General features: G+C 40.8%; 1 protein-coding gene across 5 annotated transcripts, besides 2 other annotated features; it reads right to left on the bottom strand.

The window, feature by feature from the left end:
• Nucleotides 1–449: 449 nt before the first annotated feature.
• ZNF527 (zinc finger protein 527) lies at nucleotides 450–22,417 on the bottom strand. Of its 5 annotated transcripts, NM_032453.2 has the most exons (5): nucleotides 22,290–22,417; nucleotides 19,285–19,358; nucleotides 14,270–14,396; nucleotides 13,144–13,239; nucleotides 450–5,210 (listed from the first exon to the last, which is right to left on the bottom strand). In NM_032453.2, the coding sequence occupies exons 2-5, from the start codon at nucleotides 19,315–19,317 to the stop codon at nucleotides 3,637–3,639; spliced, it is 1,830 nt and encodes a 609-aa protein (NP_115829.1). In that variant the 5' UTR covers nucleotides 19,318–19,358; nucleotides 22,290–22,417; the 3' UTR covers nucleotides 450–3,636. The 5 variants fall into 5 exon arrangements, with proteins under 5 accessions (NP_115829.1, XP_005259386.1, XP_005259385.1 ...); XM_005259329.5 differs by lacking the exon at nucleotides 13,144–13,239; XM_005259328.6 differs by lacking the exon at nucleotides 22,290–22,417 and having other exon boundaries at nucleotides 14,280–14,396.
• Nucleotides 22,018–22,327: a silencer, noted in NCBI's record as "silent region_10555". NCBI's record gives its function as "represses an Ori minimal core promoter by ATAC-STARR-seq in GM12878 lymphoblastoid cells {active_cell/tissue: GM12878}" and the evidence as "EXISTENCE:reporter gene assay evidence [ECO:0000049][PMID:35858748]".
• Nucleotides 22,358–22,667: an enhancer, noted in NCBI's record as "active region_14546". NCBI's record gives its function as "activates an Ori minimal core promoter by ATAC-STARR-seq in GM12878 lymphoblastoid cells {active_cell/tissue: GM12878}" and the evidence as "EXISTENCE:reporter gene assay evidence [ECO:0000049][PMID:35858748]".

Here is a 22,700-nt window from a genome sequence, read left to right as displayed (position 1 = left end):
GTATAAAGTGTAAATGTATATATACCACTAAAGATTTCCTTCCCATTAGCTATAAAGGCATATAAATGTGTCTATAGGTGGGTATATATATGTAGTTTGGATAGATGGATGGATGAGTAGATAGATAGATAGATAGATAGATAGATAGATAGATAGATAGATAGATAGATAGATAGATAGAGATAGGTAGATAGACAGATAGATAGATATTTCTCTTTTAGGTCTTCACTCAAAAGTTAACTTCAGAAGGGCCTTCCCTGGCTCCCCATCCCTTTTTTCATCTTTTTCACCTTGGAATTTACTTTCTTACATATTATATATTTTACTTACATATCTTTTTCATTGTCTTCCTTATTAGAAATTAGCTCTCTGAAGGCAGGAATTCTTGTCTGTTTGGTTCACTGCTGTATCTCCATTGCTTAGATTAGAACAAAGCCTGGCACACAGTAGGCACTTAATACAAAAAATTTAAATAAAATACACATCTTCAGATGCACATACACACACATAAACAGAAATCTCTAGATGGTCCTAATAACAATCAAATATTAATAAAGCATAAATTTTCACTAATCCTAAGAGATCAGGTCAATATATCACAAGACAATGGGTTGTACAGTTGAAAAGAAACAAAATTTAGTACTTCATTGTGAGGAGAAACATCAGATTGTAAAATACACTGAAGCTAAACACATGGGTACAAAAGATTTTATCAACATTACAAGTGAAGTTTAACTATATAAACAGAGAATGAACCAGTAGCTTAGGTTTACGTCACTCTCGAGGATGAAATCAGGTGCCATACATAGATCAAAAATCAATTAGTAGCTGTGCACAGTGACTCATCCCTATAATCTCAGCACTTTGGGAAGCCGAGATGGGCAAATCACTTCAGGCCAAGAGTTGGAGACCAGCCTGGGCAACTCGCGAAACCCCATCTCTACAGAAAAACGCGAAACTTAGCCAGGTGTGGTAGAGCACACCTGTAGTCCCAGCTACTCAGGAGGCTGAGGTGGGAGGGTCGCTTGAGCCTGGGAAGTTGAGGCTGCAGTGAGCCATGATTGTGTCACCGCATTCCAGCCTGGATAACAGAGTGAGACCCTGTCTCAAAAAAAATAAATAAATAAAATAAAAATCAATTAGTGAGTAACTCAGACTCTTCTTACTGATCTGAGTCATTCTTCTTCAAGTTTGGTAAAGTTTACTGTAACCTTCTGAAACTTTCTGAAATAAATTATTACTCAGTGCTTGGAAATTATAAAAATAAATATCCTTATACCTCCAGGAAATATAATAAAAAATAAAGAAATGATGACATGAATTAAGCTTATAATATTAATATGTTTCAGATTAGATGTAACATAAGTTTGGAAATATTTTATAATCATATTTGTTTCTATTCAAGGTTTGAAGTACTGAGTCACTAAATCTGTATTTTAAGCTGTTTAAAGGGAATTTGAATATTTATGAAAAATAATTTTCAGATTTTATTAGAAATAAGTATAAGTTGAATATTTCACTCTATGCACACATATATTCACTCTATGCACACATATAAATCCTTCATTCTTTCCTCTTTCATTTGTTCTGATATGTTTTTACAGATGCTCTTCAGGCAATACCCAATATTCTTACTGGTTCTCACTATTCAAGATGGCCCAGCTGCCATATCACCAGTTTATTTCCCTATATCCACTCAGATAAAAAAGAAACGTATTGCCCTACACCTTCATCTTCCTCATTACTCCCAATAATGGAAATGATTTAGTCTCTAAAAATTTTAGGCATTAACTGCTTTACTTTTACCATTTGTTAAAAATGACTCATTCTTTCTGCCAGCAATATCTTTGTTTGATATCTCTAGCTGCAAAGAAGTTATCCATACACTTCTTAAACCAAATTTATTTATTTATTTATTTATTTATTTTTTTTTTTTTTTTTTTTTTGAGAAGGAGTTTCGCTCTTGTTGCCCAGGCTGGAGTACAATGGCGCGATCTTCGCTCACTGTAACCTCCACTTCCCAGGTTCAAGTGATTCTCCTGCCTCACCCTCCTGAGTAGCTGGGATTACAAGCACGCACCACCACACCCGGCTAATTTTGTATTTTTAGTAGAGACGGGGTTTCTCCATGTTGGTCAGGCTGGTCTCGAACTCCTGACCTCAGGTGATCTGCCCACCTCGGCCTCCCAAAGTGCTCGGATTACAGGCGTGAGCCACCGCACTGGGTCTTAAACCAAATTTAGAGCCCACCCACAAAAGACCTCATTTACAATTTAATTGTTATTATATTCTGCCACAGAATATGTTTAGACCCATACTGAAAGAAGAAAATCAAGTAATTCCTTGAAGATGAAGAGCCATTCATTAAACAAATGAAAGTATTATTCTCTTAGCTTTCCATTCTCTCTTTACAGGCAAATGGTGAGTCACTGTGACAAATGATTTTAACTCCTTAAGGGGAAGCCTGTTAAAGAATTTTACTTGGTGAATTTTAAAATATTCAGCCATAATGTGAAAAAAACTAAGAAACACTAAAATAGTTTTATCGACAAATAAAATGTAACAATTATCTCAGTTTTATGAAGGCTGTGTATTCAACTTTCATAAACTTGTTATATCAGAAGGTTGCTCCTCAGGATAAATAATTATGCCACGTAAAAAATTAAGGCTTTCTTTTATGTATAGCAAACATAGAATGTGTGAATCAGCACTCTAATTCCATGAGGCAAAAATATAATCCAAATTAAGCAAAAAAAGGAAATTTATTGGATCACAAAAAATGAAAAAGGATGGTGATGGTGTAGCTGTCAGGAATGACTGGATCCAGGAGATCAAGCTGTATCATCATATTTCTGTCTCTCATCTCCATTTTCCTCTGTTAGATTTCTCTTTGGGAAAGCTTTCCTCATGAGTGGCAAAAAGGCTACTGGTGAGTTTTTAATCTTATTAAATCCTTGAAACTTGCAGTTCCAGAATAAAACCTCTCTTACTGCCCATAGGAATACCCGCAAAGGACTTCATTGATCCAGACAGGGCCATTTGCCAATCCCTTATCACTAGGTTGGGGGAAATAATTGGCCAGCCTGTGACCAGTCCACTGCTGTCCCTGATTAACAGTTTCATCTGAATCATATGCATTGAGGGTGGGCTAAGCCAGGTATAGAACAGATCAAAAAGTAACAGATGTGGCCAGGCGCGGTGGCTCACGCCCATAATCCCAGCACTTTGGGAGTCTGAGGCGTGTGGATCACCTAAAGTCAGGAGTTCGAGATCAGCCTGACCAATGTGGTGAAACCCCGTCTCTACTAAAAATACAAAAATTAGCCAGGTATGGTGGCAGGCACCTGTAATCCCAGCTACTCAGGAGGCTGAGGCAGGAGGATTGCTTGAACCCAGGAGGCAGAGGCTGCAGTGAGCCAAGATTACACCACTGCACTCCAGCCTGGGCAACAGAGCGAGACTCTGTCTGAAAAAAAAAAAAGTAACAGATGTCTACTACTGAGCTACTTCAAATAACGGATACTCATGAACTGAAATATGAACTACATTCAAAGAATTACTAACCAAAAAGAACTCACTAATATTTAATAAGGATTGAGTGGTAACCACATGTTTTCTTTCCTATACTTGTTATAATCAGAGCGTTTCTCTATTATGAATTCTCTGATGTCGTCTAAGGGCTGAGACACAGCTAAAATTATTCCCACATTCGTTACATTTATAAGGTTTTTCTCCAGCGTGAATTCTCTGGTGTAGTCTTAGGGACAAGATCTGATGAAAAGCCTTCCCACATTCACTACATTCATAGGGTTTCTCTCCAGTATGAATTCTTTGATGTTGATTAAGATATGAGCCACAACTGAAGGCCTTTCCACATTTGTTACATTCATAGGGTTTCTCTCCTGCATGACTTCTCTTATGGTGAATTAGAACTAAAGCATCACTGAAGGCTTTCCCACATTTACTGCATTCAAATGGTCTCTCTCCAGTGTGAATTCTATGATGTCGATTAAGTTGTGAGTCAGTCCTAAAAAACTTCCCACATTTGATGCATTCATAGGGCTTTTCTCCGGTATGAATTCTCTGATGTTGATTCAGGTGTGAGCGATAGCCAAAGGTCTTCCCACATTCACTACATTTGAAGGGTTTCTCTCCTGTGTGAATTCTTTGATGTAGAGTAAGGGCTATGCGTCTGCTGAAGGCTTTTCCACACTGATTACATTCATAGGGTTTCTCTCCAGTGTGAATCCTCTGATGTTGATTAAGGTGAGCACTCTGTCTGAAGGCTTTATTACATTCTTTACATTCATATGGTTTCTCACCTGTGTGAATTCTCTGATGTTCAACAAGGAAGGCATAACGGCTAAAGGCCTTCCCACATTCATTGCACGCAAACGGTTTCTCTCCAGTGTGGATCCTCTGATGTTGAGCAAGGTGAGCACTCTGTCTGAAAGCTTTGTTACATTCCTTACATTCATAAGGTTTCTCCCCAATATGAGTTCTTTGATGTTCACTGAGAAAGAAGTCGTGGCTAAAGGCTTTTCCACAGTCATTGCATGCATATGGTTTTTCTCCACTGTGAATTCTCTGAGGTTGAGTAAAGAATGAGTAACAGCTAAAGGCATCACCACATTCATCGTATCCATGGGGTAATTTTCCAAAATGAGTGGTCTGATGTTGAGTAAATAATGAGTGGAAACTTAAGAGCTTTGAAAAATCATGACTTTCATAAGGTTTCTCCCCAGGAGGAATTCCTATATCTTTACTAAGGTACGTACTCTGGTTGAATTCTTCACATTCATTACCTATCAAAGATTCCTTCTCAGCATGGAGTCTTTTATATTCAATTATGACTGAATTTTGGGGGAAGAGTTTATCATAAATATCAAATTTATGTACTTGCTGTATGGTAGGAACTTTCTGTTGTGTTAAAAATACTGATTTCAGGGGTATGCTTCTCCCAGAATTACTAAATTCATTGTCTCTTTTCCCAGTAGAGATTTCCTTAACAGCTGTCACTTGCATGAAATGCCTCTCCGCATTTCCCTGATGTAGCTCAAATTCACCCTTATATTTCCAGGCTTCTCTGAAACTGGAGCATTCAAGGCCATGACTTGCTAGCCTTTCCATTACCATCTCCTGGGATATTTCATCTTCATCAATGAACCATTTTGGAGATAATTCCTCAATTTCACACCAAGACTCCCAGTCTGAAAAATATCAAGAAAGCAAATGTCTCCTTTGTTCTTTTGCTATGAGGAAGAAAATTGTTAGAGAAGAAATGGAAGAATTTAACTGGGGGGAAGGAGGGTAGAAAGTCTGTGGTTCTAATAGCTCCCAAATATGGCCATGCAATATGAACAAAAGACAATGGAAGCACAAAGAATAAAGAGAGCTGAGAAGGGAAGGTATATGTGTTGACGATAGGGAGGTGGTAGTTGGGGACACAGGTAAAATGCAGGTCATCAAAAGGCAGGCAAAGCTAAATGCTAACAAGATAAGGAGTTGAGGATGTCTGATTAGATCACAGCCAGTTTCCCTGCCTCTAGTCTTTAAGCCCTCCTGTCCATTCTGCACTGGTATTCATAAGACTGAAAGCTCCATGAGGGCAGGGATGGATGTTCACCCCTTTTTCTTCTACTATTGCATCCAATGCCTCAGACAATGTCAGCATGTTGTTAAATGGATGACTGCTGCCAGATTAATCTCATAGCAACTTTTTCCACTAATGCTGTTCAACAACTTCTAAGATTTTTATCAGGGTCCAGGAAAAATTTATATATATTTTTTCTCAGTGACTAAAAGAAACCTAGTGGTCAGCTTTTCTCACCATTAAGGGAAAATGATGCCTATTGAGAAGATACGTGATACTTTCAGGAGAGGATATTGGTTGGGTAAGGTAGAAATAAAACTATTTTTTAGAAGATGATCTCAAAAAATGAGAAAGTCCTTTCACACCACAATAATCAGCCAATATATTCAAATACATAGAACCTATTAGTAGGTCTGAAGTACCTAGTAGAGGGGGGAAAGCCTGACACAAGGTCTTTCTACCTTTTGTAAATTCTGAGAGCTCAAGCCTGTGCAGGTGATAATTCCATATGGCACATAATGAAGGATAAGCTAATATGATATAGATTATTACAGGTATAAATGTCAGGAAAAAAGAGATCAAAACTCACTAGCTTAGTTAAGGAATAATTCTCGGAGAATATGAGCTTGGTGTTCAAGGCTATAATCAGGATTCCAAAATATAGTGACTATTTCAGTGACAGAGACATTTTCATGTTTAGATGTGGTTACGGATTATTTTAGAACTACGTATTTTGGCATTTGGGGGTTAAATAGATACAGTCTTTGCCATAACAGTTTCTCATCTGTTGAAAAGTAAAGCTGTCTCCAGTATAGGTCAGAACAAAATTGAAAAGGAAATATTATTCATCTGTATCTTTCTTCTTTCCAATACACCCTTCACCCAAGGAAAGCCTCATCCCTACCAGTCCGTCCTATATACCGCCTTGGATTTTCTTACTTGTCTACACCCAGGCCTGAGAGGCCTTGTTCGCCTGTCCTTTGTCAGGTCCATACCATTCATTCTTTCCCTAGAAATACAACTACTTCTGTTCCCTCACTCACTTGCCTGGATCTCATCTCTTGTAGGCATCACCTGAAGCCACTATACTCCATCTTACCAAAAATAAGTCTTTACTCCAGGCAAATAGCAGATTTATACAATAACTAACTTAATGCTGAATAAAAGAAGCCTGATGGGAGAAGACTACAGTTATTTTCCAACATGGGAGACTCTGAGGTGCCTGGAGCTCCAACCACTATCTTTACATATAGACTTACAGATTGGATCCCCTTGATTAAAAGACTGTATAGAGCTGTGCTATCCAATACGGTAGCCACTAAGTATAAGCAGCAATTTAAATTTAAATAACATTTTAAAAAGTCAGTTCCTTACTCACACTAGCCACATTTTATGCACTCAAAGCTAAATGTGGCTAGTGGCTACTGTATTAGAAAGCACACATATAGATTATTTCCATCATCAGAGAAATTTCTACTAGAGGCCAAGCATGGGGGTTCCCGCCTGTAATCCCAACACTTTGGGAGGCCGAGGCTGGTGGATCACTTGAGGCCAGGAGTTCAAGGCCAGCCTGGCCAACACAGTGAAACCTCGTCTCTACTGAAAATACAAAAATTAGCTGGGCGCAGTGGCTCACATCTATAATCCCAGCTACCCAGGTGGCTGAGGCACGAGAATTGCTTGAACTGGCAGGTGGAGGTTGCAGTGAGCCAAGATCACGCCACAGCATTCCAGCCTGGGTGACAAAGCTAGACTGTCTCAAAAAAAAAAAAAAAAAAAAAAGGAAAAGAAGAGAAAAGAAAGTTCTACTACACAGAACTGGACAGAGATCCACATTAATACAACAAAGATCTTATGGTAAACGAGGAAACAACAGAAAAACAGGGGAAAGAGTCCATTAAAGGGAGAACAGAGCTCTGAAAAGAGAAAATGGATAGTGGTAAGAACTATCTTATACATCTCAATAAGCTGAAGGATATGAAAATGAAGAAGGGTACCTGGATGTAGCTAAACTAGAAGGGCAGAAGCCAGATTACAAGTGATAAGACAGTGGAAGAGAACCTGAGGTGAAGGCAGTGAGTTGAGATTACAACTGCTATGTAAGTAATTGGAAGAGAGAAGGGAGTAAGGTTGGCAAGAACACAAAAAAAGTCCTACAAAATGTTACGAAATTCTTCTAAGGAAGATTTAAATGAACCCATGTAATATATAATTGCAACAAAGCAAAAAAATAATATATGCATATGTTTTTACCACAGGTTAATTTACATCAGATCAGTTTCAACCAGAATTCCATAAGGATTTTATTTCAGAACTTAAGAAAATTATTTTAAATAAACTTGGACAAAAGTAATCAATAATATAAAAGAAAATTATGAACAAAAAAAGAACATTCCAAAACCAATAATAGGACCTAAGCCCTTGCATTTTATACCTTTCTTCCACCAAAATCTCTGTGAAAGAACTCAACCAGGGTTGACTTGTAAAATTCCCTATCATTGTGGAAAAGGTCATGAAAAAAATATCAAGAGAAACACACTTACAGCATTAAAAACCTGCAAGACACAGAGAACACAGTGAAGGGGAGCATGACCTCCTCACTACCATCCTGACGACATCTGGTTGAAAGGAATGAATTTGACATTAACCTTGAAAACTTGTGTGCGGGAGAAAACACAAAGTCAAAAGGCAAGGGACAATCTGAGAAAAAACAACTAAAACATATATCATAGAAAAATGAATAATGCCCAGAATTTAGTTCTACTACAAATCAGTAAGAAAAAGAAAAATAATCTAATTCTCCAAAAGTGGAAGTATGCCAGTAATCCCAACAGTTTGGGATGCCAAGATGGGAGGATCGCTTGAGCCCAGGAGTGCTAGACCAGCCTGGGCAACACAGTGAGACCTCGTCTCTACAAGAAAAATAAACAAAAAAATTAACCAGGTGCAGTGGTGTGCATGCTGAGGTGAGAAGATTGCTTGAGTTCCGTAGGTATAGGCTGCAGTGAGCCAAGATCATGCCACTGCACTCCAGCCTGGGCAACAGAGTGAGAACCTGTCTCAAAAAACAAAACAAAAAAATGTATGAGCAGGTAATTCACAGAAGAGAAAAACTTTATAGACAATGCATTCCTGGAAAGATGCTCAATAATATCACTAGTAAATTAAAACCATAACAGCATTTCCCTTCCTCATATCAGCAGAAATTTCACTTAGACAATATTAAGGACAATATCAAAAGCTTAAGTTGAAGAATATCAAGAGAGGAAGGAAATGCCATTCTCAGACACTGTCATTGTTAGTACGAGCATAAACTGATACAATCACTTCCCAGAACAAGTTGAGTATCTTGTAAATTAAAACATGCACTTCCATGTTCCAGCAATTTTACTTCAAGGTACACATTTTGTTTTTTTTTTTGAGACAGGGTCTTGCTCTGTCACCTAGCCTAGGCTGGAGTCCAGTGGCACTATCACAGCTCATTGCAGCCTTGACCTCCGAGGCTTAAGTGACCCTCCTACCTCAGTCTCCTAAGTAGTTGGAATAATAAGTGCACAGCACCATGTCAGGCTAATTTATTTATTTTTACTTTTTAATTTTTTTCCGAGATGGAGTCTTGCTCTGTCGCCCAAGCTGAAGTGCCGTGGCGCGATCCCAGCTCACTGCGACCTCCACCTCCCAGGTTCAAGCAATTTTCCTACCTCAGCCTTCTGAGTAGCTGGGATTACAGGAACACACCACCACGCCCAGCTAATTTTTGTATTTTTAGTAGAGACGGGGTTGCACCATGTTGGCCAGGCTGGTCTTGAATTCTTGACCTCGTGATCCACCCACCTCAGCCTCCCAGACTGCTGGGATTACAGGCATGAGCCACCACACCCAGCCTGAAAGTGCTTTTTAAAAACTATAAAACCCAGAAAATATAACATAAGACAATATATAGGATTAAGCCCAAATTTACCAAAAATGTAATTAGACTTTCACTTATTAAAATGAAAAGAAAATCAGATTGGTTTATATAGTAAAACTCAAATCTGTATTGTATATAAGCCCTACACTTAAAGTTATTTTAAAAAGTGGAAAATAGGCTGGGCACGGTGGCTCATGCCTGTACTCCCAGCACTTTGGGAGGCCGAAGCAGGTGGATCACAAGGTCAGGAGTTCGAGACCAGCCTGGCCAATATGGTGAAACCCGGTCTCTACTAAAAATACAACAATTAACTGGGTGTGGTGGTACGCACCTGTAGTCCCAGCTACTTGGGAGGCTGATACAGGAGAATCGCTTGAACCCAGGAGGTGGAGATTGCAGTGAGCCAAGATTGCGCCACTGCACTCCAGCCTGGACAACAAGAGAAAAACTCTGTCTCAAAAAAAAAAAAAAAATCAGCTGGGTGTGGTAGCTCACACCTGTATAATCCCAGCACATTGGGAGGCCAAGAAGGGTGGATCACCTGAGGTCAGGAGTTTGAGATCAACCTGGCCAACATGGCGAAACCCTGTCTCTACTAAAATTACAAAAATTATCTGGGCATGATGGTGAGCACCTGTAATCCCAGCTACTCGGGAGGCTGAGGCAGGAAAATCCCTTGTACCTGGAAGGCAGAGGTTGCAGTGAGCCAAGATCGTGCCATTGCACTCCAGCCTGGGTGACAGAGCAAGGCTCCATCTCAAAAAAAAAGCATAAAAAATCAAGGAAACGCATTCTCCCATACAGTTTTAGGAAGGAATATAGGCTGCTGACATCTTGATTTTAGCTCTGTAAGGCCTACTTTTTACTTCTGACCTCCAGAGCTACAATAAATTTGTGTTGGATTAAGCCACTAAATGTGTGCTAATTTGTTACAGCAGGAAAAAAACTAAGCAGACAACTTTTCTGGAGGGGAATGTAGCAATTCCTTATAAAACTACGTATATACGGCCGGGCATGGTGGCTCATAACTGTAATCCCAGCACTTTGGGAGGCCAAGGCTGGCACGGATCACGAGGTCAAGAGATTGAGACCATCCTGGCCAACATGGTGAAACCCTGTCTCTACTAAAAATACAAAAATTAGCCAGGCGTGGTGGCATGCGCCTGTAGTCACAGCTACCCGGGAGGCTGAGGCAGGAGAATCACTTGAACCCGGGAGGCGGAGCTTGCAGTGAGCCGAGATTGCCCACTGCACTCCAGCCTGGTGACAGAGCGAGACTCCATCTCAAACAAAAACAGTAACAAATGGACCTGAAATAACCAACCTAAGTAATTTTGGAAATAGTATTTTGACTGGACACTATAAGACTAAAACAAAAAGTACTATATACAAATACCTAAATCTAGTTGGTAAATTTGTTTCTCACAGAGAAGTAAGTTAGAAATTCTGAAACTACTTTATGTGTATACTAAAATTGAACAAATAGGTAAATATATTTTTTCTCATTATCAGAAAAAGAAATTACAAATAAGTCAAGGAGGAAGGCTACAATAAACCCTGTAAAGCAGGACTAGAAATCAAGTTATTAATATAAACTGATAGTTTTAGTATATAAAAAGATAGAGGTAATAAAAAATGGGAAAAAAAGAGGCAGAAATAAATATAGGGGTGTGTGTGTAAATATCTATCTATCTATCTATCTATCTATCTATCTATCTATCTATCTACCTATCTATCTATCTGTTTCCTAGCTTTAGCTGCTGTCAGGGCCAGAAAGAGTGATATCCCAGTAGCCTAGAGCATACCTAGCTTGGTTTCTAAACACCATTTCCCAATAAAGCAATGAGGGCTCCTTGGAGAAGTGGTTGATTCAAGGCTGGGGCAAGGAAAATAAGAGAACCTGGAATACCTTGTGCCAGAAGGAAGGACGTGCCCAAAAAATGCATGGGGGCATGTCAGAAGGTCAAAGGAACCAATGTGAAGGAGATTCCAACATTCAAAGCTGGAACGATTTGAGAAACATAATGATTCATTGGATTTACTTCATAGAAATAAAAATCCATAAATCCAAAAATAAATCCATTTAAATTTTATGAAGTCATTAAATTTTATGAGGTAAATTAGATTTACCTCATAGGAAAAAAATCCATAAATATAATTGAATATATAAGTAAATGGAGGAGAAAGAGCAGCTCTTCCTTCAGAACAATCCCAATTAATATACACAAAGAAAAGAGGGAAATGGAACAAATCAACATTAGGTTAATACCACAGTAATAATAGTTGAAGAGATCCAGCAATAAATGCTAAAATAAATGGGCAAAAATTACAGAAGAAACTGAATAATCTCAAAGTATCTCCCCCAAGATATTTATTAACTACAAATAGAAAAATAAGAACTTTATAATGGAGAAACCAAGCAGACACTACCTTCACTAAGTGTGCAAAGTTAACATCACCGATAATAAGACATATCGATATTATACATCCTTTGGAATGATGCACTGAGAGAGATACAACATTATTTCTGTGACATTCTTTGCAAAAATGCACTACCTCAATCTAATTATGAGAAAATATCAGATAAATCAGATAGATCCAAATTGAGTGCATGCAAATATAATGAGCCATTTGTGTAGAGTGAAGCGTATCTGAGGATTCCAGGAGAGATTTCTCCAAGAAGATGAAGTGGATAGATCACCTAATATGTCCAAGTATCTTGAAAGACTCAGACAATTGATGGTAAGTCGGGAACTGGATTAGGGTTATGTATATATAAACTGAGCAAAAACAAACAAACAAACAAACAAAATTCCCAAGTCATTATTAACTCCAGGAAAAATAAAAAGGAGTAGAGAAAAAGTAACTTGCCATATGCACAGCACAGCTATGACTAGCACTAAATGGCCATAATAAAATAAATGCTGAATAGTGACTTAATCAAAATGATGACATTGATAAGATAGGGGATGGGAAATGTGTGTATTTGTGTGTGTGCCTTATGTGTTGGATTCAGGAGAAGAAAGTGCTAACTCCTTATTTTCTTATAAGAAGATACCGAATAAGGGCTCACCCTGAAAAAAAATCAAGAGTAGCAACATTAACATATTTTTGGAGACATGAAGGGAACACCAAAATAAACTACAAAAGAAAAGAAAGTGGATCGCTCTAGGAAGAGGGAAACTGGGGAGCCGGGAACAAGAATTCCTTCTTTAAGGGAAAAAGCCTTGTATAGGCTTTTTGGTGCAAAGGTAATTGCGTTTTTTGGCAAAACTGCAATTATTTTTGCACCAACCTAATACTACTACTTGATTCTTTAAACACTGTGTGTACATATCTTTGATAATTCTGATAAAAATAAAAACTCTGAAAAAGAAATCTAGAAATGTAATACAATTCTAACCATAAAAGGAAAAGAAGAGCTGAGAAGGATTGAGATTCAAGGTATAGGTGGAAGACCGGAGAGTATAATTTGATGGAAAGAAAAAGAAAAAACCCCAGGGTGTGGTGAGGTTTCTAGGGAAGCACATACTATGGAGATTTCAGTTCTCATCCCACCTGAAGCTCAAAACAGTTTCCTACTTACTACTTGGTTGAGTACCTTACAATAGTCCTCCCTGCCTGGTGATCTGTCACTCACCTGCACAGTGACCCTGTGACATCTTTCTCTCCACCATCCACGGTTCCTTCCCTTGCTCCAGTAAGGAGATCATGTTGGGCTTAGAAATGGAGAGTCCTGTTCACAGGGGAAGAAAAATGAGAGCAAGAGACAGAAAGACATACAGACAAACAAATCAACATGCCACAGCTGTCTAGGACGCAGACCCAATATCTTGATCATCAGGCAAGAATGGACATTAGAGGAAGAGCTAGAGAATGGAATGACGCTTGTATGGATGAGGAGGAGGATGAAGCTTCTGCCGTGACAGTGGTTCTCAAAGTGCTACAGCAGCTGCAGCCATCACCTAGGAACTAATTAGAAATGCACATTCTCAGGCCGCAACCCAGAACTACTGCATCAGAAACTACAGTGGCTCTCAAACTTTAACAGACATCAGGATCATTTGGAGAGTTTATTAAAACCCAGACTACTGAGCCTACTCCCACAGTTTCTGATTTTGTAGGTCTAGAATGGGGCCTCATAATTTGCATTTTAACAAATTCCCAGGACATGCTGATGTTGCTGTTCCAAACCACCATTCTACGGCAAAGGGAACTACTCATTTCCAACTCTATGAAATTACTTCATATGCTGGGCGCGGTGGCTCACGCCTGTAATCCCAACACTTTGGGAGGTCAAGGTGGGTGGATCATCTGAGGTCAGGAGTTCGAGACCAGCTTGGCCAACATGGAGAAACCCCATCTCTAGTAAAAGTACAAAAATTAGCTGGGTGTGGTGGTGGGCGCCTGTAATCCCTGCTACTCAGGAGGCTGAGGCAGCAGAATCGCTTGAATCCAGGAGGCGGAGGTTGCAGTGAGCTGAGATCGCACCACTGCACTCCAGCCTGGGCGACAAGAGCAAGACTCTGTCTCAAAAAAAAAAAAAAAAAAAGAAATTACTTCATGTGTTCAGAATGTCTGCCAAAAGTAAATTAATTAATTAAAATTTAAGCAAATATATATTTCAAATCATTTCCTGGGAACAGGAAGTAGAAAGGCAAGTAAGTGCTTTTAAGATGTCTTAAGATGTCCTAGATATTCTCAACAGAGGAAGCAAAAACACCCCAGAGGAAGATTTTTAAATTATGGGGGAGAAACATCCTTACCAAGCCATACCAAGTTCCTGTAGTTCTCCAACATGACATCTCTGTATAAATCCTTCTGAGATGGCTTCAGCCATTCCCACTCTTCTTGGGAAAAGTCTAGCGCCACATCTCTGAAGGTCACCAACCCCTGAAATAAAAAAATTCTTGTTCACCAGGTGCCCAGACACCTATATGGTCCTAGCAAAAAAGATGAATTTGGCCAGAGTTCAAAGCTCTAAGTGATGCGAGGAAAATAATTATTGGAGAACAATTACATGCTGAGGTTTGTCAAATACTTTAAGAGAAGAGAAATATTAGAAACAGACTCACCATTTGAAAATTTTACATTTTTATAAAAAAGACATATATACACAAAATTAGCTTATAACAAGAAACAGCAAAGACTAAGTTGTATGTTACATATGCTAAGTATAAAGAAAATCTTATATGGGGGATTCCTTTATATTCCCCAAATTGAGACATCAGGTGGGGCAGAATAGGAGAAAGGCCTTGAATTGGGCTTTAACAAAAGGGTATGGCCTGAAAGTTAGACTTTATATGTAAGGAGAAACGTCCAGGAACATATCCTGAAGAAATAATGAGGTATATGTGAAGCAACTTAGATAGAATTTTCATTGGAAGGTTATGCAAAAAATCTGGAAAAAACTTACATGTTCAAAAATAGAGTTTAGGCTATAGCACTGAACTGTAGGCTGAGTGAAGGGAGAGAGATTTGTTTTATAAGCTGATATATATCCAGTATCTATTACAAAACTGATCACATTGTAAACTCTCAGTAAATATTTGCTACTCAGGGAATAAATGGTGAAGTTTCCTATAAAATATCCATATGAAGAAAGAGTATTCAGTGCTTAAAAATGATAGGGTTCCAGTATGTACAGTATGTTCTCTTTTTTTAATCAAAAATAATGAAATATCAGGCCAGGCGCAGTGGTTCACGCCTGTAATCCCAGCACTTTGGGAAGCCAAGGCAGGCAGATCACCTGAAGTCAGGAGTTCGAGACCAGTCTGGCCAAAATGGTGACACTCCGTCTCTACTAAAAATACAAAAATTAGCTGGACATGGTGGTATGTGCCTGTAGTCCCAACTACTCGGGAGGCTGAGGCAGGAGAATTGCTTGAACTCGGGAGGAGGCTGCAGGGAGCCAAGATTGTGCCACTGTACTTCCAGCCTGGGTGACAGAGCAAGACTCCGTCTCAAAAAAAAAAAAAGAAAAGAAATATCAAATATGGTTATTCTACATAGTGGAATTATGGCTATGGCTGAATGTGTCTAGGGAAAAATTTACACAACTCCATAGTGTTGTATAACTTCCATGTGCTCCTCTACTCTTTTCTGAGTCCTAGGAGGCTGACTGTATCAATAAACTCCGTTGTCCCATCCCATATTCTGTTGGGTTCAGCCACAAGCAAGAGATGAAAGGAAGGTAAGTAAGGCAGAATACTTATTCCCCTGGCTCCCTCCCTGGGTGGGAGTCCCACCCTGGGTGGTCTCTGTCTTTCAATCAAAGTTCAGAGCACCTGTCAGGGGCCCCTCCACCCAGCTCTCTGTCTCTGGATTCAAAGATCTAGGGTTAGTAAGAGAGCTATGCTGTTATGAGCCCCAGAGTACAGCATGATCCTTTATAGTTTCTCTATGTCCTGATAATATCTTTTAAATAGTTGCCTTTTGATTGCCTTGCTAGAACCCTGATTGATAAAACATGTTGACACAAAGTACTTCTTGCATATGGCCAGAATGTCCTCAAAAGCACTGCAAAACCACTCTACTATGCTTCCCTAATAAATTCACTCTCCTCCTCTCCTGATAACTATTTCATAACTCTCTCTCGAACCACCATCAACTCATCCCGATCTCACTTTTAACTTCCTCATCCTCCAGCCACCATATGTACTTACCCTTCTGTATCTGTACTCATACCTGTATATTCTGTCTGCCCTCTGTGACTATGAATAAAACTCTAGGCTTCAAAGACCAGTCCGTCCACTTGCCCACACGAAGACATTTTCGCCTCTCTCCCTTTTACTACCAACTATTCTCACTTTACTGGATCATTCCAATCAGCAAAAAAACTGATGCAATATCTTCCCTCTTGCAAATAAATACATAGATAAATAAATAAATAAGTTCCCTTCCATGATCTCCCTTTAGCTATTGTCCCATTTCTCTACTCCTCTTAATAACAAAACTCTTCCCGTAAGTTGTTTAGACCAGTGTTATCCACCAGAAATACTTGAGTCACATATGTAATTTGAAATTTTCCAGTAGTCACAAGAAAAAAATAAATAGAAAAAATATCATTTTTATTTAACCCAACATATCTAAAATGTTATCATTTCAACATGTAATCAATATAAAAAATTAATGAGACTTCTTACACTCTTTTTTGTACTGAATCTTCAAAATCTGGTATATACTTTGCACTTACAGTGTATCACAATTTAGAGTACTCATATGTGCCTGCTGGCTACACTACTGTAAGTCTAAATTCACTGTCTTTGTTCTCACCTTCCTCGTTTTCCATTCTCTTTTTCCTGCCTTTTTTTTTTTTTTTTTTTTTTTTGGAGATGGAGTTTCACTCGTGTCACCCAGGCCCCAGGCTGGAGTGCAATGGCGCGATCTTGGCTCACTGCAACCTCCACCTCCTGGGTTCAAGCGATTCTCCTGCCTCAGACTCCTGAGTAGCTGGGATTACAGGCATGCGCTACCACACCTGGCTGATTTTTGTATTATTAGTAGAGATGGGGTTTCACCATGTTGGCCAGGCTAGCCTTGAACTCCTGACCTCAGGTCATCCACCTGCCTTAGCCTCCCAAAGTGCTGGGATAATAGGCATGAGCATGAGCCACTGCACCTAGCCTTTTTATTTTTATTTTTTATTTTTTTTTAAGACAGGGTCTCACTCTGTTTCTGTTGCACAGGCTGTAATGTGTACCACATGAATCATAGCTCCCTGCTGCCTCAAACTCCTGGGCTCAAGCGATCCTCCCACCTCAGTCTCCCAAGCAGCTGGGACTATAGGCATCTGCCGCCATGCCTATGTTTTTGGATTTTAGTATTAAAAATTTTTTTAGAGATGGAGTCTCCCTGTGTTGCCCTGCATACATAACTGGTCTTGAACTCCTGGGCTCAGGCGATGGTCCCGCCATCTTGGCCTCCCAAAGTACTGGGATTACAGCCATAAGCCACCGCACCCGGCCTCCATTCTCTCTTAAACCCACCACAATGATGTCTTCATCCCAGTCATTCCATGAAGTAGCTCTTGTCAAGAATATTTCCATGTTACCAAATCCAACGGTGAGTTCTCAGTCTTCGTCTTCTTCAGTCCCTCTCAGAGGAACTTAGCTCAGTTGATCATCCCATCCTTGAAACACTTTCTCCTCTTGGCTTCCAGAACCCACACTCTTCTGGTTTTCCTTCTACATCAGTTCTTCTCAGTCTCTTTTGCTGGTTCCTCCTCTTCTTGTGTGGCTCTGAATGTTGAACATCCTAAAGCCAGTCCTTCGATCTCTTTCCTATCTACGTTCACCACAAAACTGCCCTCAAGATAATCTCATCCTGTCTCATGTTTTAAATACACTAAGGACAGCCGGGCACACTGGCTCACCCCTGTAATCCCAGCACTTTGGGAGGCCGAGGCAGGCAGATCACGAGGTCAGGAGATCAAGACCATCTTGGCCAACATCGTGAAATCCATCTCTACTAAAAATACAAAAATTAGCTGGGCGTGGTGGTGTGTGCCTATAGTCCCAGCTACCCGGAAAGCTGAGGCAGGAGAATCGCTTGAACCCAGGAGGCAGAGGCTGCAGTGAGCCGAGATTGCGCCATTGCACTCCAGCCTGAGCGACAGAGCAACACTCCATCTCAAAAAAAAAAAAGAAAAGAAAAGAAAGAAAGGAAAGAAAGGAAAGAAAGAAAGAAAGAAAGAAAGAAAAGAAAGAAAGAAAGAAAGAAAGAAAGAAAGAAAGAAAGAAAGAAAGAAAGAAAGAAAGAAAGAAAGAAAATACACTAAGGACTCCCAAATTCACATCTGTAGTCCTGAACTCCAGATGTATAATCAGCATTCCATTTGGATATCCAAAAGGTCTCTAAATATATCCAGAATTCAATTATTGATATCCATCCCACTTCACATTGTCTTTCCAGCTCAGTAAATGGGATGCCCATTCATGTAGCTGCCTAGCCAAAAATCTCTGTAGGCATCCTGACTTCTTCCTCTCACATGCCACAACGAATCCTTGATCAAATCGCATTTTCTATCTCCAGTCTATACCCAGAATCTCACTAGCTCCAATGCCACCACCATGATCCAGGCTGCTATCACCTCCTGTCTGGATTACTAAAAGAGTCTCCTGACTGGCCTCTCTGCTTCCACCTGTACTCCCCTGCTATCTGTTTTCACTTTAAGGCATAAATCAAATCAGATCACAAACGTTCCAATGGCTCTCCTTCACTTAGAACCAAATTCAAAGTTCAGATCATGACTTGAAAGGGCCTACGTAATTTGGTTCCCAGCTATACCTCTGACATCACAGTGCTCATTTCCCTCCAAGGACAGACTCATTGCTATTCCTGGAATACACCAAACATGTTCCCACCATAATAACTTTGTACTCCTTCTTTTAAAGCTCTTCCCCAGATCTCCACAAAACTTACTTGCTACTTTCACTGAAGTTTTGTTTTGCTAAATGTCACTTCCTCAGAGAGGCCATCCTTGACCTCCCTATTTAATAGATCACTCAGTAATCAAACTCTATCCCTTATTTCACTTGCACTCATTGCCGACTCAACAAATCATCATCCATCTAAAGAGGATAGCTCTGCTCCATCACACATTTGAGCATAACACTGACTAAAAAAGATATTAAATGTTTTGTAGAAGGATTATATGAACAAAAGGTGGAGAGAGAAGTGGAAGGGGTGCTCATTGGGCTATTTGTGATTTTCCCTGTGGTCCCAAAGTCCTGAAAAATGAGGTCAAATGTCTGAAAACAAAGTGAAAGAGCATGCTTACCTGGGACATGGCTTTACAAAGCCCCACAGCCATTCCTCCTTCTTCAGTTTTCTCTTCTGAAGAAGAACAAAGTCCTGAGAAGGGAGAGTTAATGAAGAAATGATGATGTGCCAGCCCTGTGTTTTTGGTCCAAGACCCACAAAAATACTACTGCCCCTTTCTTCTCCCTACATGGGCCAGCCTCACCTTTTCCAAGATCTGGCCAGGGTGGCGGGGTGGAATCCAATGCTGAACTTAACTCCCAAAGTCTTGACTTATATATTAAGGACGCATAGCCTGAACTCAACAAAATCCAAAGTCTGTCCTACGGCCAACAAGGTGGTTCATGATCTGGCCCCTGGCTGCACCTCTGACCTAATTTCCTACCCTTCCGCCCCTTACTCGCCACACTCCAGGCACATGTCTTCCTACTGTTACTCAAACACTGTACACCCCTTCTTCAGGGTTGTGGACTTTTCCTTCCGTCTGGAACCTTCTCCCAGACACCAGCATGGGCCACTCCTCTTTATTCCTATCTGCATTCAGGTGTCCCTTCATCAGAGGGACTTCCCTGAAAATTCTACCTCAAGGGAACCCCTGTTCCAGGTACTCCATTTTTCTTTACCCTGAATTATTTTTTTCTCAGCATTTATCACCACTGGACATGTTACATACTGCTTTGTTTCTTTATTGTTTCTCTTCCCATGCAAGATTGTAAGATCCAAGAGAACTAGGTTTTGTTTGGTTCACAGGTGTATTCTAATGACAGAACACCACCAGACCATTGTAGTCTCTCAAAAAATTAGATAAATGAATAAATAAATTTTACTGTGCCTTATGTAATATAAATATACAATGTTAACTCATGCTGTGTTGGGCAAGTAATTTTAATCTTCCTGTGCCTCACAATCAGACTAGGTCCGACATAATCCCGTGATCTCACATACACATAAAATTCTCACCCAATCACAAACATATACACATTTACACAATCGGTGGCATAATCTCTCTCTCTCACACACACAGCCGTATTAGCACAAAGATAGAGAGACTGTCACACATGGTTATCTCATTGTGTCATTATCTCATTTAATCCTCAGAACTACTACTGCTCCACAAAACTACAAAGATAGGTATTAATATCTCCACTTTACTGGTAGTAAAAGGGAGGTTCCAGAAGCTTAAACAACCAACTCAAAGTCCGGGGTCCAACTGAAATGTGACCTCAAAACCAGTCCTCTTTTGAGAGGCCACGATGTCTGAATGGGAAATATTCAACACAACCCGAGTAATCAATGCCATATATTCCTTAGAGAGGCATCTTTAGAGATGGCAGGTGTTACCTTTATTTCTCTACAGAAATGCAGCCTGAGGGAAACATCGCCAAATTTTAATACTAAAGCAACAACAAACTGGGCAATCTGAAGTAAGTTCCTTGTCCTCTTAGAGCCAACATTTCTTCATTGTAAAAATAGAGACAGGCTGGGCACAGTGGCTCACACCAGTAATCCCAGCACTTTGGGAGGTCAAGGTGGGCAAATCACTTGAGACTAGGAATTCAAGACCAGCCTGGGCAACATGGCAAAACCCCATCTCCTCAAAAAGTACAAGAATTAGTTGGGCGTGGTGGCATGTGTCTGTAGTCCCAGCTACTTGGGAGGCTGAGGTGGGAGGCTTGATTGAACCCAGGAGGTAGAGGGTGCTGTGAGCCGAGATTGCACCACTGCACTCTAGCCTACAGGACAGAGCAAGACTCTGTCTCAAAAAAAAAAAAAAAAAAAAAAAGAAAAGAAAAGAAAAGAAAAGAAAGGGACAACTGTGGTTGACCTAGAATTCAGTATACATCACCCCCTAATTTCACCCCCTAATTCTGGACTACTTTGCACTAGGCAACTCAGTCCCTAGCAGTTATTTCCTTAGTGTAGTGCAGCTTGAAATTGTCCATAAAAACTGCAGCAGGGCGCAGCGCCTCACGCCTGTAATCCCAGCACTGTGGGAGGCTCTGGTGGGCGGATCATGAGGTCAGGAGTTGGAGACCAGCCTGGCCAAACATGGTGAAACCTCGTCTCTACTAAAAATACAAAAACTAGCTGGGCGTGGTGGTGCGCGCCTGTAATCCCAGCTACTTGGGAGGCTGAGGCAGGAGAATCACTTGAACCTGGGAGGCGGAGGTTGCAGTGAGCCGAGATCGCATCATTGCACTCCAGCCTGGGCAATAGAGTGAGACTCCATCTCAAGAGAAAAAAAAAAAAAAAAGCGAGACCTCTAGAGCTAAACTGCTTGGGTTTGAGTTCTGGTGCTGTCACTTGTTAACTGTGTGAACTTGGGTAATTCTAATATTTCTGTGCTTCATACATCAATCCCACAATCTCATATATACACACAAATTCTCACCCAATCACAAATGTATAGAGTCACACAAACACACCCATAATCTCACACAATACACAGCCACATAAGCACAAAGATAGATGGTAACATACAACTACACCAACAGAGATAAACAATCACACACAATCACACACAAAGTAGCATACCACAGAAGTCACACATCTTGTCACAATTACTGATACAAAACTATACCTGCGGAGACAGATGGTCATAGTCGCACAATCACACTTGCTGTCACACACATTCAAACGCAATTGTATCCGCAGAAACAGGTGGTCACATAACCACACACATGCATTTACACAAACACACAATGTCACACCCCAGTCTCTCATAAACACATACACAGCTACACCTGCAGAGACAGTCACACACAAACACACATATTCACAGTTTCACCCCCAGACACAGATGGTTACAGTCACACACAAGCGGGCGCACGCGCACAAACACACACACACAGTGACACAAGATCACATTCTGTCACACCCGCAGCCTGTCACATAGTTGGTAATACAGTGAAACACACACGGCCTCCCCAGCGACTCCTGCCGGGTTCCCATCCCTGGCGCGGCCGGGCCACCCGGAGCCCGCCCTTGACTTCCCGCTCCCGCCCGGGGCCCGGCCCCACTCACCTCCCGGCGCCGCGGGCTCTGCAAACGGGCCCCGCGACCGAGACCCGCGACGTCACCTCCCAGAATCCTCCGCGAGGAGGAGCGAGGCGAGGACTGAGGCATGCAGGACTCTGAGCTCTGCGAGATCTGAACCAGCGACACCGCGTTCCCCATGGACCCCGCGAACCACGAGCCCCAGAACGCTTTGCGCCACGGCCGTCATCGTTGAACTACATCTCCCAGAGAACCCCGCGGCCCCCTCCACTGCGCGCCTGCGCCACGGGGGCAGGTACCGGAGAGGGCTGTGTGCGGTCGTAGGCTCTCCAGTGACCTTGAGCTGCTGTGTTGGGGAAAGCGGCCAGGCTGCGCGCGGGGCTGACTGGTTGAATGCTTGGGTGTGGTGGTTCGTGTGTGACTGTTGCTGCACACCTT

Source organism: Homo sapiens, chromosome 19, assembly GCF_000001405.40.
Source record: "Homo sapiens chromosome 19, GRCh38.p14 Primary Assembly".
NCBI lineage: Eukaryota > Metazoa > Chordata > Mammalia > Primates > Hominidae > Homo > Homo sapiens.
This window is presented reverse-complemented; position numbering and strand designations above follow the sequence as displayed.